General features: G+C 35.6%; 1 protein-coding gene across 5 annotated transcripts in view; it reads left to right on the top strand.

Moving 5' to 3' along the window:
* The window catches only part of HACD4 (3-hydroxyacyl-CoA dehydratase 4), a 32132-nt gene extending 14302 nt beyond the window's left edge, over positions 1-17830 (top strand). For 2 of the 5 annotated variants that reach the window (NM_001321903.2, XM_017014713.2), the window contains exons 4-9: positions 1329-1441; positions 5644-5750; positions 5901-5995; positions 6557-6614; positions 9193-9318; positions 10220-17830. In NM_001321903.2, coding sequence (NP_001308832.1) covers positions 1329-1441; positions 5644-5750; positions 5901-5995; positions 6557-6614; positions 9193-9318; positions 10220-10302 — 582 coding nt within the window. In that variant the 3' untranslated portion in view covers positions 10303-17830. Of the gene's footprint in view, positions 1-1328; positions 1442-5643; positions 5751-5856; positions 5996-6556; positions 6615-9192; positions 9319-10219 lie in introns of those variants that run through there. The other 3 variants (NM_001010915.5, NM_001321883.2, XM_047423390.1) reach the window with 2 other exon arrangements.
* The last annotated feature ends 233 nt before the right edge of the window (positions 17831-18063 follow it).

The raw sequence follows: 18063 nt of genomic DNA, 5'->3' as shown, positions 1-18063 counted from the left end.
TAGCCAAACATAGACCCTCTTGACTCACCACTGTAGTCATGTCGTAAACATGCTGATATAGCTTATACACGTGGATTTCTGATCATGTGGCCCACTGTTGGCAAATCTTGGATTTCTGGGCACTAGGTGATTTTCCAGGACTAGCAGCCTATAAATGCCAAGTCACAGGTTATCCCAGTCTTTTCTCCTTGATCCACTTTTAAAATAAAGAAAAATATAAATCATTCCCCTCTTTACTGTGAATTTGACTGTTCAATCTTAAGTATATTTTCCTTTGACCATTAAGAGCAAGTAAAACATTTTATTAAAAACACACAAAATACAGAATGTACAGGATATATTAATATAACATAAGAAGGCACTTTATATTTAGGTTGGGAAAAAGGAATGTATTTTTTTATTTTTTGAGGCTAGTAATTGGGGCTAAGCCAAAAATGTGTGAAGTCTCAATGATTTGTAAATGCTGACTTGGAATATATTGAATTCTTTTCATTTTCTGCTAGCTTATAAGGGTTAGGATTATATTACTCCCCTACCAAAAAAAAGAAAAAAAAAAGCTACAAGTTTCTCTATTGGATGGAACTGAAATTTCTCAGCCTGTCTTTCAAAACCCTTCACAACCCACCTCCAAACATGTTTTCAATTTCATCTCCTTTTATTCCCTTCTATGCACCCTCCCCTCTAGCCCCCCAGTGGTTCACATTACTCCCCTGGGCACCCTACATTTTCATACCTCTGCCTCTTTGCTCAGGCTGCTCCCTTTGCCTAGGATGCCTTCTGTTATACCCAGTCTACCTGACAAACTCTTATTCATTTTTCAAGATCCAACTTGGATGAAATGAAATGTAGCATGTCTTCATTAATCTCTTTGCATTCTTTCTCCAGGCAGAAAGTATCTCGCTCACCTGTGCTCCCATATCTGGCACACACTGTGCTGGCTATTGTTCAGTTCTCCCACCACTGCTACCCTCTTTGGAGCAAAGACTGTGTTTTCATTTTGGCATCTGACACACAGTGGACACTCAATAAAGCCTTGTCAAAGTGACTAGAAACACATGCATGTGGCAAGAAGAAAGGAAATATCCTGATTCACATAAAATATATGTCATTTTTTCATTCATTATATATTATTTGTAAAATATAGACAAATGAGGAACTGAAATTCAGCCATAACCCTACTCTCTCAGAGGGAGGCATTGTTAACAGTTTAGTATACATATTTCCAGCTAAAGTATACTTTTGAAAGGAGATCTGGTTTTCAAAATTAGAAAATTACCTACATAGCCTAATAGATGTCCTAATTTCTGACTTTGCTGTTTCTTTGTTAGCTCACAGAAAGAATAATCATCCTTTTTGTGGTGATCACCAGTCAAGAGGAAGTCCAAGAGAAATATGTGGTGTGTGTTTTATTCGTCTTTTGGAATCTATTGGATATGGTTAGGTAAGAAGGCAAAATAATCTCTTAAAACAAGGCTAAATTGCTTTCTGCAGTGAAACCAGTACTAGCAGTAACCAGAGGTTACTTGGTACGAGAGAGGAAAACATAACCCCTTTTCAAATTATTTTATCTTGATATGGAAATGTATTTTTAGTGTTCTCCATAATGGGCATATCAAAGATAATGAAAACCTACCGTGGTATTACAAGAGTAAATCAGCACATTCAGGTTTCTGCAGAAGGCTTGGCATAAAACCAACTTGGAATAACCCTCAGCTGTTTCCTAACAAAGGCATTCCTCACAATTGCTTTAGTACGGTTGCTTTAATAAGCAAAGCAGGTCTTTTATTGTATCACCAGAATTTACAGTTAGTTTCTGTGCATTCAAGAATCTTTTAAATATAGGGCCTCTCAGGAAGAAAATGCACTCTCACATTCATTTACAATTCCAGTGGGTTCAAATGACTAACTTAAGTCCTTTTAGTGCTAATTCTAAAACTTTGCAGTGAGATGTGCCTAGTCTTACCTCTACAAGTGGTGGTGTCAAACAGTCCCCTTTGCTCAGTGAGTGCTTACGCCTCACTCTGGGGAGGTGTCCTAACTGCTAGGTCAGCTTTCCTAAATAAGAACCGTCCCTCCTACTTGAGAGATCTGGATTTGAATAGGTAACAAAAGAGCCCTAGTTTGTTTTTCAGCCAAGGGTATGTAAATTTTTTCATTATATTGTCAATAACTTAACTGAATTAAAATATGTTTAAATAATAAGTTGAGTCCTAGAGTGAATTAGAATGAAATCTTTTGCTGAAGTAAAATGAATTTAATTATGTATATAAATTAGTAATTTTTCATTTTTGAATTGATAGTTTAGTGGACTTGGGGCAAACTTCATGGACTTTTGTAGCCCATAACTTCTGTTCATGAGACAATGGAACATCATTTGGGATTGAAGCTTTCTAGTATGTTACTCTTGGCTATGCTTACTCTTTCAGTGTCAGAGAAGCTCAATAAATACATTGGAGAACAAAACAACATTTGCACTGAAAGAAGTAGCATGCTGTCATAGGAAGATTTTTGGACATAGAGGTAGAAGATCTCTCTAGATGAAACCCACCTCCACTACTTACTTGCTAAGTGATGTTGGGCAAATCACTTAACCTTTCTTATTTTAATAACAGTTTTATTAAGATATAATTTATATACCATAAAATTCACCCTTTTAAAATACAAAATTTGTGAGTTTTAGTATATCCAAAGAGATGTGCAATCATCACTACTATCCTAGAACATTTTGATCACCCATAAAAGAAACCTTATACCCAGTAGCAGTCACTCCCCTCTCCCTCTTTCCCTCAGCCCCTGGAAACTACACATATGCTGTCTCTATGGATTGCCTATCCTGGAAAGTTCATATAAATGGAGTCATCCAATATGTGGCCTCTTGTGACAGGCGTCTTTTACTTAGCATAATGTTTTCAAGGTTCCTCTGTGTTGTGGCATGTGCAGTACTTCATTGCATTTTGGGCTGAGTAAAATTCTATTGCATTGATTTACCACTTTCTGTGTATCCACTTATCAGTTGATGGACATTTGGGTGGTTTCTACTGTTTGGCCATGAGTAGTACTGCCATGAACATCCATATACAAGCTTTTGTGTGCACATGTTTTCATTTCCCTTATACCTAGGAGTGAAATTCCAAGGCACCTAACTTTTAGAAACTTTTTTTTCCTCTGTAAAATGGGGGTAAACTTATCATCCCACCCTACCCTAGCATTATTTTTCCTAAGTAATGAGCAAGAGACTTCCTCAGCCTGAAAAAAGCATCTATGAAAAATCCATACTAACATGATAGTTAATGATGAAAGACTGATGCCTTCCTCCTAATATCCAGGAACAAGACAAGGGCATCCACACTTGCCAGTTATATTCATCATCGTACTGGAAGTTCTATCCATGGCAATAAGGCAGAACAGAAAACAAACAAAATGGTATAAAAGGCATCTAGGCTGGAAAGCAACAAGTAAAACTATCTCTATTGGCAGATGACATCTTATACATAAAAAATTATCAATATGTAAAAATGAATTATTTTTATATATTTGCAATTAACTACCATAAAATGAAATCAAGAATACAATTCTGTTTACAGTAGCATAAAAATAATAAAGTACTTAGGAATAAACTTGACAAAAGATGCACAGAATTTATACATTGTTGAAAAAGCATTGTTGAAAAAAATTAAAGAGCTAAATAAATGAAAGGACATCCCACATGACTTGGAAGACTTAATATTGTTCAGATGGCAATATTCCCCAAATTGATCTGTAGATTCAGTGCAATCCCTATTAGAACCCAGATAACTTCATTGCAGAAATTGAGAAGCTGACCCTAACACTCATATTTAAACTCCAGGAACTCAGAATAGCCAAAACAATCTTAGAAGAATGTAGTTGAAGGACTCAATCTTTCCCATTTCAAAACTTACTACAAAGCAATAATTAAGTGTGGTACTGTGTAAGGATAAATCATGGAATAAAATTGATAAAGATAAACTCTCACACATTTTTGGTCAATTAATTTTTGACAACAATGCCAAGACCATTCAATGGGGAAAGAATAGTCTTTTTCAACAAATGGTGTTGGGACAACTGGATATACACACACAAAAAAATGAAGTTAACCACTCACATATAAGTGGAAAACTATGAAACTCTTTGAAAAAAAATAGGAGTAAATCTTGATGACTGGATTTGGCTGTGTTATAAGGTACACAACAAAAGAAAAAAAAGATAAATTGGACTTCATCAAAAGTGGCTTTTCTTTTTTTTTTTTTTTTTGAGATGGAGTCTTGCTCTCTCACCCAGGCTGGAGTCCAGTGGTGTGATCTCAGCTCACCACAACCTCCGCCTCCTGGATTCAAGTGATGCCCCTGTCTCAGCCTCCTGAGTAGCTGGGATTACAGGCACCCGCCACCACGCCCGGCTAATTTTTGTATTTTTAGTGTAGATGGGGTTTCGCCACGTTGGCCAGGCTGGTCTTGAACCCCTGACCTCAGGTCATCTGCCCAGCTTGGCCTCCCAAAGTGCTGGGATTACAGGAGTGAGTGAGCCACCACGGCTGGCCAAAAGTGGCTTTTAAACATGAAAACATGCTTACCCACTCTTCTAATATGAGGGGAAAAAGATGAGATACCATTTTTCACTTTGATTGGTAAAGATCAAAAAGCTTGATTATATGCTATGTTCAGTGAGGTCCTCCACTGCTGGTATATATTCTGTATAGTAAATATGCACATAGATATGCAAATGCAAAAACATTTTTGAAAGAATACCTAAGAAACTGACATTGGCTATTGTCTCTGAGGGGTGGAATTCAGGTCCTGGATTGAGAGAGATTTACTCTTCCCCATTCATGTTTTCAAGGTTTTTTGGGTAGTTTTGCCATATGTATTTATTGTCTGTCTATATTAGTAGTTCTCAAAGTGTGGTCCCTAGACCAGTGGCATCAGCATCACCTGGAACTTGTTAATACAAAGTCTGGGGTGTACCACAGTTCCATTGGATCAGAAACTTTGGAGTAGGGCCCAGCAATCTGTGTTTTAACATGCCATCTAGGTGATTCTGATATATGCTCAAGCCTAAAAACCAGTGTCCTATTCAAAGAAATAAAACACAACGTAGACTACTTTTTACATCACAGTGGTAGGCTTAAAGCTCCCTACTATACCCAAATCAGCTCCCAAGGCCAGTTCTTTAATTGATCACATAGATAGTACAACTGCAGAAGCAGAAGGATGCCAAATAAAGATTTGGAAGTCACATTTTATTTTTAAATGAATTCCTGAGATATTTACAAGTATGTCTGTCATTAAAAAACCTAGCTGCTTGCTGCAAAAAATGAGCTTGGCTTTTTAATGAAATTGAAGTCACTAATCAAGGAAATTTGTAACTGTATTTTTCTGAGGAGGGAGTAAGAGTTACTTGCTCTGTTTAGCTTTATAATTATTAATGATCTACCACATGAGACAAGCCAGATTGACATGGTCCCTTTCCCCCATTTAAAAAAAACTCTTCCTTAAATTATAGGAAATAAAATATACAATTTGTACACTTTCCAGTTGTATCTCTGTATTTAATTACACAGTAGTTTCTCCTATTTCCCAGATATTAGCAGAAAATGATGTTTATGAGCTTCTCATCTCCTTTCAGGTACACTTATAGCATGTTATCAGTCATAGGAATATCCTATGCTGTCTTGACATGGCTCAGTCAAACACTATGGATGCCAATTTATCCTTTGTGTGTTCTTGCTGAAGGTAAGAAAAGAGTGACTTGCTGTATTGCTTACTGACAAAAGCCATCTAGTTATAATGGTTCACTAAATTTTTTGATGATTAAATTACTATTTTTGCGAATGCTTAGCTCACTCAGTGTATCCTTACTGGCATATTTCCCTTGATGCAAAGAGGCAAAGTTGAAGAGGGAAGCAGCTCTGCACAGTAGACAAAATACTGGACAAAAAGCAACGGCATCTGAGGCCTTCACTTCATTAACTCACTGTGTGAGTTTTGGGTAACTCATTTAACCTCTCAGAGTCTGCTTATTCACCAAAAAGAAGTTAACATTTAGAGATTCTATGATTTTTAACTTTTAATGCACAGAAATTCAGTCCCCTCTGGTGAGTCTTTCCCACTTACCATTTACTATGTATCCTACCCTCTCTCAGCAACTAGTTAACTCTACCTTGAGATTAATCATCATTTTCTGAGGGAGGCATTCCCTGACTTCCTCAACTGAGTTCCCCTGGGTACAGTATCATGAATCTTTTATAGCAGGGGCCCCCAAACTAGGCCATGATCCCAGTCTGTGGCCCATTAAGAACCAGGCCGCATACCAGGAGGTGAGCAGTAGGCTAGCAGGTGAAGCTTCATCTGTATTTATAGCCACTCACCATTGCCCACATTATCGCCTGAGCTCTACCTCCTGTCAGATCAGTGGAGGCATCAGATTCTTATTGGAGCACAAACCCTGTTGTGAACTGTGCATGTGAGGGATCTAGGTTGTGTGCTCCTTATGAGAATCTAATGCCTGATGATCTTTCACTGTCTCCCATCACCCCCAGATGAAACCATCTAGTTGCAGGAAAATAAGCTCAGGGCTCCCACTGATTCTGCATTATGGTGAGTTGTATAATTATTTTGTTCTTACAATGTAATAATAATACAAATAAAGTACACAATAAATGTTGTGTGCTTGAACCATCCTGAAACCATCCTTCTTCCTCTGGTCTGTGGAAAAACTGTCTTCCACAAAACCAGTAACTGGTGCCAAAAAGGTTGGGGACTGCTGTCTTAACAGGGCTTATATCAGCATAATTACACATTTGTATGATTCTTTGATTAATGTCCATTTCCTTGACTAGACTGTAAGCTCTGGGGGGGGGGGGGGTACCAGGATGTCTGAGTCTGTTTCTTTGCTTCCTTCCTCTCTTTTATGCACCAGTATACATGCTCAATGAACACAGAATGAATTATTGAGTATGAGTAGGCTAATTATATAGCCTAAATATAAACCTAAAACTTAAGATCAAATCATTCAGATCATCAGTCAGCAGAGCTTGAGGATATTTGGAGAATATATGCTTTCTTCTGCAATGGATTTGGTAGACTGGTAAGGAGCATTCTGTAAGACATGATTAAAGTTTTCAAAACTGAAGACATAAAATAAGAAAGCATGTTAAGGTAACTAAGGGAAAAACATAAGGACATGGTGTTTAACATAAAATGATGACGACATTAACAATAACCAAAGTATATAAAAGCCAGTTATAAAACAAAAACACATATTTTCTATCTACTGATGAGCAGATAAAAAGAGCTTGTTACTGTAAATCATGTTAGAATTTCTAAATTTGTTTTGATTCAAAAGGAAGAATTATTAATTTTGGAATAGACTATGCCAAGTGGATCTAAAGAATAATTGTCTTGAAAACAGTAAGAACCTGATTGTCCATTCTTTAAGAATCAAGTAACCTCTCATTGAAATATCAAATACATTATCTTTGTTAAATCATAGTACTGTAGAGAATATAGAAAGGAAATTGGGAGCTGTTGGTCAAAGGGTACAAAGTTTGTTAGGAGGAATACATTTTTGAGATCTAGTGCACAGCAGGGTGACTGTGCTTAATAATGTATATTTCAAAATAGCCAAGAGTACATTTCAAATCTCACCACGAAAAGTAAGCGAGGTGGTAGATATGTTAATTAGCTTGATTTAATCATTCCACATTGTACACATATATCAAAATATCACATTGTGCTTCATATATGTATACAATTATGATTTGCCAATTAAAACTTAATCAAATTTAAAAGAATATATAAAGGAATAAGGTAGAAATATGACTAATCCCTTCCTAGGAATAAGGGGTGGATAAATGTATAGGAAACTTTTGCATTCTTGTTATTCCATAATTCTAATCCTTGTCTTTTCTAGGAAAGCCATGTTCTTATATGGTTGCCATACAACCCTTATTCTTTTATTAACTTCATAAACTTATTCTTGCAATTACAAAATAAGGTATATGCAGAAAATAGTCTAGAGATATATATGACAAAAATGTCAATAATGCTCTGGATGGTGGAATACAGATAATTGTAATTTTATCTTTCTGTGTTTCTGTATATGTTAGATGTCCCAAAGTATAAAACTGCGCAGTTAAATAAACCTACTAAACTTTCGATAACTTTAATTTTAATAATTTTAATAACTATAATTTCCCATCTGACAGATATAAGACAAAAACAAAGCTTATGTAAATAACAAAATCAACTAATTATACTGATAAAATGCTAGAGACATAGGTGCGGCCTGTGTTAACCTTAAACTGCATATTTGGTGTCAGTGGCAGATCCTTCACTGATGCTACTCATACCTCTGCTTGGCTCTAACAGTTGTGAACTCTTGCCTTTTCTTCATCTTTCTCTTTTTAAAAACTTTTTATGTAGGGATAATTTTGACCCATAAGAAATTGCAAAAATAGTGCACCATTCCCATGTACCCTTCACCCAGCTTACCCTAATGATAACATCTTACATCATGTTAGCATATTAACATTTCATTGCATGAAATGTTACCAAAAATATCTATACATGGGATACAATGTTACTGAACTTTAATCTTTTTTTTACCTGATACCAGCCCCCTCCCTCAAAATAATTTAGGCCAGCATTTCTCATAGAGTTCTTCAAAATACTTATTAAATACTACTGGTGGTTAAGAAGGAAGAAGGAGATATTCTAAGGCCAGTTACATTGAGGAAAGGCTAGGTGGTATTTTTTTATTACAGAATTTCTCACAATGTTAATATGTGTTCTACTATGTTAATGTGTGTTGTGAAACTCTAAGAGGAAAATATATGCACCATTTTCCAAGTTCATCTCTCTATCACCCCTATTTGTGGCTAGGTGGACAAATGTATTTTGAGATAACATTTTAAGAAACATTGTAAATTCTTCTGTAGGCACAATAAGGTATACCATGGACAAACATTCAACAAGTCATACTGCTGTAAGCACCTTGCCAACTTAATCATTTCACAGATTTCTATATTAAACTAGGTTTAGCAAAAAGATTCAGCAACTATTACAAAACTGTCATTATCAAATTCAAAATATCCTACAACTATGAAGACATATATACACATCCCTGTAACAACTTAAGGAGGAATACCTTTATGATGCCTTTCTTTTTTAACAGCATTTGCCATCTATCAATCGCTGCCTTATTTTGAATCATTTGGCACTTATTCCACCAAGCTGCCCTTTGACTTATCCATCTATTTCCCATATGTGCTGAAAATATATCTCATGATGCTCTTTATAGGTAAGTGGCTTTTTTGGTCTTGTTTTTGCATTTTTCCTGTACTTTTTGGTTAGTGCTTGCCGTCTACCTTAATATACAGGTTGGTAAACATGGGAGAGACCAAAGAGGAAGCCTGACATCATGAACTAGATCTTGCTAGTAAAGCCCCTGGAGGTTATAATGCTTTTTGCAGGGCATCATGGGATCATATATTTCACTTTCACTGTACAAATAAGAACAATTTTACTATCAGAAAATATAGCTGCATTATGTATGAGATATAGAAGTTTTGACCATGTGCACAGGTATCTACAAATAAAACCTAGATGTCAAACTAAGAAGAATTGGCTATTTCTGATGTTTCCATTTATATCCATTTTGTTTCTTGTTTGTTTGGCTTTTCAAGCTGGCACTTCCTATCAGGCAAATGGGAGTCGGTGTTACAGACTCAAGAGAAATGTATGGAACAAAAACTTACCCTTGAATAAATTTGATCATTAAACCTAATCATTTTCCAGGAAATTGGGGAAAAAACTTTCACTATTAAATTTTTGTTTTCCCAGCTCTAACCTTCACAAATCTCCAAAATAATGATTATCTCTAGAAGGTAACAGATATCAAACATATGAACAACATATAGAGAGAAAAGACAAAAATGTGAAACTTTAGAGGAAGGTGGAGAGAGCTATGCTAAAGAAAGGAAGACAATTCCTTGCATTAAAAAAAGTAGGATGGAAGAGTTTGATTTACCTCTCTTTCTGCATAAAATCTGGACACTTCTTTAAACATTCCTTCTCACATCTCCCTTGCAAGTGTCTTCTCCCTGGATTTGGGCAGCACTCTGACTGTATTTTAAAAGCATTGTTTCTTCCAGAGAAATAGTTAACCTTACTTACTTTTGCAACTTCTTTCTCCATATTAGGTATGTATTTTACCTACAGTCATCTATACTCAGAAAGAAGAGACATCCTCGGAATCTTTCCCATTAAAAAAAAGAAGATGTGAAGTACAGCATTCCAGTGTGACACGAGAAAAGACAGGCTGTGGATTCAGTGCAGTAAATAAAACACAGGAAGTATTCTGGTGGAAAAATACCTTGTATTTGATAAAAATCCATTACATGAAATAACTGCACATACCCCCAAAACTCTAGACATAACAGGCTATGTTTTTCACACATTGTATTTTTAAGACATATATATTCTCCATACCCTGCTTCACCAAAATTCCTGCTTCATTTGGATTTTATACAAGTTATACTTACATTGTATGAAGTCTGATTATTTTCCTGTAAGTTTAATGAGAAATAGGAGATTAGCTGCAATAGATTCAATTAAATTAAGAAACCAAACTTGATAACCTAAATTACATGTATTCTTTTTCACTTCCAAGTTCCCAAATAGATCTGTAGGAGAAGAGGGATGGAAAATATATTCCACAGTTGCCTAGAATAACATATTTCATAGACAGATGTCTGTCTTCAGATCTAATAATACTCACCCTAAACATTAGATATGTTTAGAAAATTAAATATCTTTCCAAGCCCTATGTCTTAGCTCAGGTTGCTATAATAGAACACCATAAACCGAATGGCTTAAACAACAGCAAACGCTTCTCACAGTTCTGGAGGCTGGGAATTCCGCTCAGGATCAAGGCATCAGCTAATGCAGTTTCTGGTGAGGGCCCTCTTCCCAGTTTGCAGATAGATGTCCTTCTTTGTCCTCACATGAGAGAGAGATCAACTCTCTTATGTCTCTTATAATGGCACTAACCCCATTCATGAGGGCTCTACCCTCATGATCTAATTACCTCCCAATGGCCCCACCTCCAAATACCATCATATTGGAGGTTAGGGCTTAACACATGAATTTTGGGGGAACACAAAGATTCACTCCATAGCATTCTGTACCTGGTCCTACAAAATTCATGTCCTCCTCACATGCAAAATACATACATTCCATCTCGACAGCCTCAAAAGTCTTAACTCATTCCTGCATCAACTCTAAAGTCCAAAGTCTCGTCTAAATCAGATGTGGGTGAGATTCAAGGTAGAATTCATCCTGAGGTAAAATTCCTTTCCAGCTTTGAACTTGTGAAATGAAACAAGTTATGTGCTTCCACAGTACAATGGTGGGACACACAAAGGGTGGACATTCCTATTCCCAAAGCAAGAAACAGGAAAAAAGGAAGGTGTAATGGGTCCCCAGCAAGTCCAAAACCTAGCAAGGCAAACACCATGAGATCTTCAGTCTTAGTAATAATCCTCTTTGGCCTGATACTCTGGCTTCAGGACCCAGTGAGGCAGAGGTATTGCCCCCAGGACTATGTTGGAGGAGGATGACCCCCATATCACCAGGCGGAAGCTGTCAGGCCTGTTGAAACCAAGGCAATGACTGCCCCTTTTGAAACTGAGAAGGTACCACTGATGTTCTCTGAATCATTGTTCCGGGTCAGTTTCTCCTTTTCTTGAAGAATAGTGTACATTCACAGCTGAATAGCTCTATGGTCCCAAATTCAAGAAGTCCAACAGTCTTCCCTCATTCTGTCCCATCTCCATTCCTTTCAATACAAACTAGCAGTGTTCCTGCTGGGGTGGCTGATTAGGTCTGTGGTTCACACCCACATAAATCTAATTGGATGACTTGTCTGCTACACTCTTAGTGTTCTCTACCAAACGTGTTTTCTTATCTTTTTGTAATGCAGACAGACTGATAATTTCCCACATCTTTTAAGTTCTGGTTCCGTTTTTGTTAAGAATTCTGTCTTCATTTTTTGTCACATTTTACTTTAAGCAGTCAAGATAAACCGAGGCACTCCTTCAACACTGGTTGGAGATCTCTTCAGTTCAATATCTAATTTCATGGCTCACAATTTTACTTTCCACAAAACACTAGAACATGAACACAATCATCCAAGTTCTTTGGCATATTATAACAAAGATCACCTTTCTTCCAGTTTCCCATAACAGGTTCCTCATTTTCATTTGAGACTTCATCAGAATGGCCTTTATTGTCCATGTCTACCAACATTATCTTCATGGTGATTTACGTGTTCTCTATGAAGATGGAGGCTTTCTCTCCCACCCTCTTCTCTTTGAGCCCTCACCAAAATCACCTCTATCAATCCCTTCATGGCAATACTGGCTTTTTCTAGCAAAAAAACTAGTACCTCAAAACTCTTCCAGTACTCTTCCAGGTACTCTAGTACCTCAAAACTCTTCCAGCTTCTATCTGTTACCTAACGTCAAAGCTGCTTCCACATCTTTATATATTGGTTATAGCATCACCACACTTCTTGGTACTAATTGCTGTCTTAGCTTGGCTGCTATAACAAAATACCATAAACTGGGTGGCTTAGACAACAAATATATTTCTCACAGTTCTGGAGGCAGGGAAGTCCAAGATAAAGGTGCTAGACAATTAAGTTCCTGATGAGGTTCCAAGGTGCTAGCTGATTCTTCTTCATGGTTTGCAGATGAATGCCTTCTTGCTATATGTTCACATGGTGGAGGGAGAAACCATCTCTCCCTTATTTCTTATTGTAAAGGTACTAATCCCATTTATGAAGGTTCCAGCTTCAAATGCCATCACACTGGAGATTAGATTTTCAACATGTGAATTTAATGGGGGACACCAGCATTCAGTCCCTAGTGCTCTGATAGAGTATTCATTAATGTCATGTATTTGTTAACATCTTGTAAGTTATTTGGGCTTTGATGCCTTAAAAGAAGACCCTGGCCAGGCATGCTGGCTCATACCTGTAATCCTAGCACTATGAGAGGCTGAGGTGGGCAGATCAGTTGAGGTCAGGAGTTCAAGACCAGCCTGGCCAACATGGTGAAACCCCATTTCTACTAAAAATACAAAAATTAGCCAGGCATGGTGGCGCATGCCTGTAATCCCAGCTACACGGGAGGCTGGGGGCATGAGAATCGCTTGAGCCCAGGAGATGGAGGTTGCAGTGAGCAGAGATTGAGCCACTGCACTCCAGCCTGGGTGACAGAGTGAGACTCTATCTCAAAAGAGAAGACCCTAATGAAAATAGTAAACCTTTAGCAAATACACAAATGATGCCCCATTCTGTATTCTTTTTAATTTTAAAAATAATGACACACACATACAGGAAGATAAAAGGTATAAAAATATACTAAGTACTTTTTAAAAAGGAAAATTCATGTTTTGGATTATTACTGAATTGTTGCTAATTACTGTAATGTAAGTCATATGTCCTTACATAGTTTTGAAAAATGCTTTCTTTGAAAATCTAAAAAAAGTGTGAATAACTGATAGTCATTGCTGTATCATTGATGTATCACTCAATTTTTGGTAAAGAATTATAAAGATCTTACCTAGAAACTATGTAAAAAGGTATTAAATATATTGTGATGTAAGAATAGGATAATAAAAATGTAATTTTAAAAATGGGTAACTTATTTCCACTAAAGAAAACATTTGGAAAGAAACAATTGAGTATTAGGCTACTTGAAATCTTTATAAATATATTTGGATTTTAAAAAATTATCCTTTTAAAAAGCTACATTTTTTCTGCTTTTATAGTTATCTTCTAAATTTCAGAAAAATTATGAAAAGCTTTAGTGTGCAAGGAGAACATAAACCCTTTGCAAATTTTAGGTGAGTTAATCTTAATCACTCCAAATAAAGATGGCTCCTTACACTGCCGAAGTACATGTACAATCAATCACTAAAACAAAGAGAAAATTAGAGAAACTACACTTTACTGGGTCATTATAATAAATTAAAATTTCATTATTAAATAATGCTTTAATTTTTTAAAACCAGATTAACTTAAAAACTTCTTAAAATTGAAAACCAAAAGAAACACAAGTGAATTTATAATTATTTTAAAACAGAAATGAGGATTGACAGTAATTTGAGATATCTGCAACAATTGTAACATAAAAAGATCTTACATTTCCTTTGGTGACAGACACAATTGTTAATACTACTGTGGTTGGTTGCCTGTATTCACAATGGAAAGGAATACTAAATTTCATTATCAATTAGTGAAAATAAAGGTGTAATTTCTTTTTCTACTTAAGTACATGTTCCCCAGGTTAAGAAACCCAGACATAGTGAAGTCAAGACAGTAACTATCTGGTTAATCGGATGTTACCAAAATCGCAAAGTTGATGTCTTTGACTATCTGTCTTAACTGTATGTTCACCAAATCCCTATTTCATTTTGTACAGTGTAGACAAAGGCTTACTTTCTCAAATCTAAGTAACATAGATGAAATAGGAACCATTAGATATTTTGAAAACATATCTAAGACAACTTTTTTCAGTAATTTTTTTATTGTGGTAAAATGTAAAATATACTATCTTATTCCTTTTTAAGTGTGCAGTTCAGTAGTAGTAAGTAATTTATATTGTGCAACCATCACCACTGTCCATCTCCAGAACTTTTTTTACCTTGCAAAACTTATACCCTATACTCATTAAGCAATGGTTCCCTATTCTCCCATCTGCCCTGTCCCTGGCAACCACCAGTCTACTTTTTGTCTCTATGATTTTGATTGCTCTAAGTACCTCATATAAATGTAATCATACAGTATCTGTCTTTCGTAATTGGCTTATTTCACTTAGCATAATGTCTGCAAGTTTCCTCCATTTTGTATATGTCAGAATTTTCTTCCTTTTTGAGGATGACTGATAAGGAGGGACTTACTCCTGTCATTTTGCTATTTGTTTTCTACATAGCTTAGCTTTTTTGTCCCTCATTTCCTGCATTACGTCTTTTGTGTGTAGTTTACTTTTTTATAGTGAAGCATTTAAGTATCTTTCTCAGTTCTTTTGTGTATATTCTGTAGCTGTTTTCTTTGTGGTTACCATAGGGTGACATTTAATATCCGGAAGGTAATTTGGACTTATGCCAGCTGAACTTCAAAAATATACAAAAATTCTGCTCTTTATATCTCTGTCTATCACTCCTTTAAGTTTCACAAAATTATATACACTGTGTGTCCAAAATCAATTTTTAAAAATGCAGTAGTCTCTATGTAGAAAACAAAAAGTGGAGTTACAAACCATTGTTACAAAAGTACTAGATTTTATAATTGCCCATGTATTTTTCTTTACTGAGATCCTTATTTCTTCATGTGGCTTTGAGTTGCTGTTTAGTGTCTTTCCATTTCAACTTGCAGGACCCCTATTAGCATTTCTGGCAGGGGCAGGTCTAGTGGTAACATACTTTCTCAGCTTTTGTTTATCTGGGGATGTCTTAATTTCTCTCTCACGTTTGAAGAACAGTTTTGTCAAATACAGGAAATGTGGTTGATGATATATTTTTTTCCTAACACTTTGAATATGTGAGCTCACTGCATTCTGGCCTCCAAAGTTTCTGATGAGAAATCTGATAATCTTATTAAGGATCACTTATATGTGATGAATTGATTTTTTCATGCTACTTTCAAGATTCTCTTTCTGTCTTTGGCTTTTGATAGTTGTGTGGATCTCTTGGAATTCATTCTACTTGGAGTTTGTTGGTCATTATCTGGCTGTTCTTCAAATATTCTCTCTGCTCCTTTCTTTCTCTCTTTTCCTTCTGGGATCCTCACAATGTGTATGTTGGTCTGCTTGATGGGTCCCACAGATCCTTATACCCTGTTCACTTTTTTCCAATTTTTTTCTATTGCTCAGACTAATAATTTCCATTGTCCTATTTTCATGTATACTGATTCTTCTGCTGCCCAAATCTGCCTTTGAATACCTCTAGTGAGTTTTTCATTTCAATTATCGTACTTTCCAGCTCTTGAATTTCTTTTTTGTATCGTCTTAGATTTTCTCTATATTGATATTACCATTTTGTTCATCCATTGGTTTTTTGACTTTTTCCGCATGCTCTTTGGTTCTTTAAAAAACATCCTTAAGGCAGTCGTTGTAGAGCCTTTAGTGGATCCACCATCAAGTCTTTTTCAGAGATAGTTTTTGTTTTTGTTTTCATTTGAAAGGGACATACTTTCCTGTTTCTTTGTATGCCTTGTTATTTTTTTGCTGAAAACTGAACGTTTCAATCTAATAATATGGTAACTACATCTCACTAAGGTCCCTAAGTTAATGTTTTTTTTTAAACTATTCCTTACTTTGCCTGCCTTGAGCAAGTTGTCAAATGTGAGAAACTGTATTTATTTCAGAAGTACAAATAGATACAATCTCAATGTCCAAAATATTTCCCCAAAGAAAGAATCTTACAATTATTTAAGTTTACTTATGGAGAAAACATTTTATGGTACTAAAGTGTTAAAGTGATTTAAAATTAAGGTTAAAATATGCTAAAAATTATCTTCCTTTACCCAGTATCTATCTTCCACTTGTTTATTACTGCTTTTTAATAATTATAATGTTTCCCGTTGGTTCGGATAATTTTAATATTCTTCTCGGTCTGAGTTATATGCTAATGTTGATATGACATGGTTCTCCAGGGTAGTGTTCAGATTGTATGTTCAGGGAGCAACAGCCACAATTAACAAGTTCACCTGTTTAGAATGCAGATTCCAGGGCTCCACTAAAGATAGTTGAATCAGAAGCTCTGGGAATAAGCTCAGGATCCTACCTTTTGATAGACTCCTCAAATGAGCCTCATGCACAGAAAAGTTTGAGAACCACTGCTTTTGAGTCTAAATTATTTCAGCTTTGGACAGAAAGAAAACTGCTAAAAAGAACTACTTATATAAAAGCCACCAATGTTTTCAGAACAGGGATGATTTTTTATGGCTTTAAAAATCCTTAAATAGTAGTTCTGAACATGTTTTTAACATGCCAAGTAAGAATTACTAACTAGTTTATTTTTGCTAAGGGTAGCTGGAGTTTTAAATCTCATCTAAAATAAGGTTAGTTAATTCCATATGAAAGTCAATTAGTAAAAGTATGCCTTAATTCATCACATACATGTAGGTGTCTATTGTTACTTCATGGTATTCAGCTGAATGATGGGGTTCTTGTGAAAGATAATGTGGTCTGGAATTAAGAGCACTAGGTTTGATTTGAGATCAAGCTCCATTATTTACTAACTGAATGACTCTTTGAGTTCCAGTTTCCTTAACCACTTAAAGTTATTATGAAGACTAAATGACATATGGTAAATTAAACTTTTGCAAATTATAAAGGGCTTTGCAGAAGTAGGACATTTATAACATGTTCTGTTCTTACTTCATGATGGTTTAGTGATTTATATTCTCTGACTGTAAGTTCCATGAGAGCAGGGATGACACGTTTTGTTCAGATTGTACCCCAGAAACTTGTATAGTGGCACATAATAGACACCCATAATTGTGTGTGCAACTCTATCTTTAAAGAACGCCACTACTACATCTAGAAATATATTTCAAGAAATCTATCGGCTTAATTAGGTAATGAATTTCAATTGTATCTCAAAGCGTTCCTTATATTTAGAAGACACATAAGTTTTGTTTTTTTCTTTCAACTTATATAAGTATCTTAACATGCTACTTCTAGAATATTTTAATTGTTAAGAACAATTTCTTAATAAACTTCCACTGTCTTCCTGAGTCCCCATATACATGTCAGAAATGTGTTCAAGCATTACAGCTATTTATTTGCAGTGAAACACACAAAAGTGATAACATTTCAATAACATTTTATAATTTATAAACCATATTTTTGTATTATTTATTTTAACCCTCACAGCTACTTTGTGAGGTAGATCATTTTATCCAAAAAATAAAACCAAACCTCAGGGAATAATCATTTTTATTCAGTTTCATATTTAATAATTTAGCTGGAAATGA

The sequence above is a fragment of the Homo sapiens genome, chromosome 9 (assembly GCF_000001405.40).
Source record: "Homo sapiens chromosome 9, GRCh38.p14 Primary Assembly".
NCBI lineage: Eukaryota > Metazoa > Chordata > Mammalia > Primates > Hominidae > Homo > Homo sapiens.
This window is presented reverse-complemented; position numbering and strand designations above follow the sequence as displayed.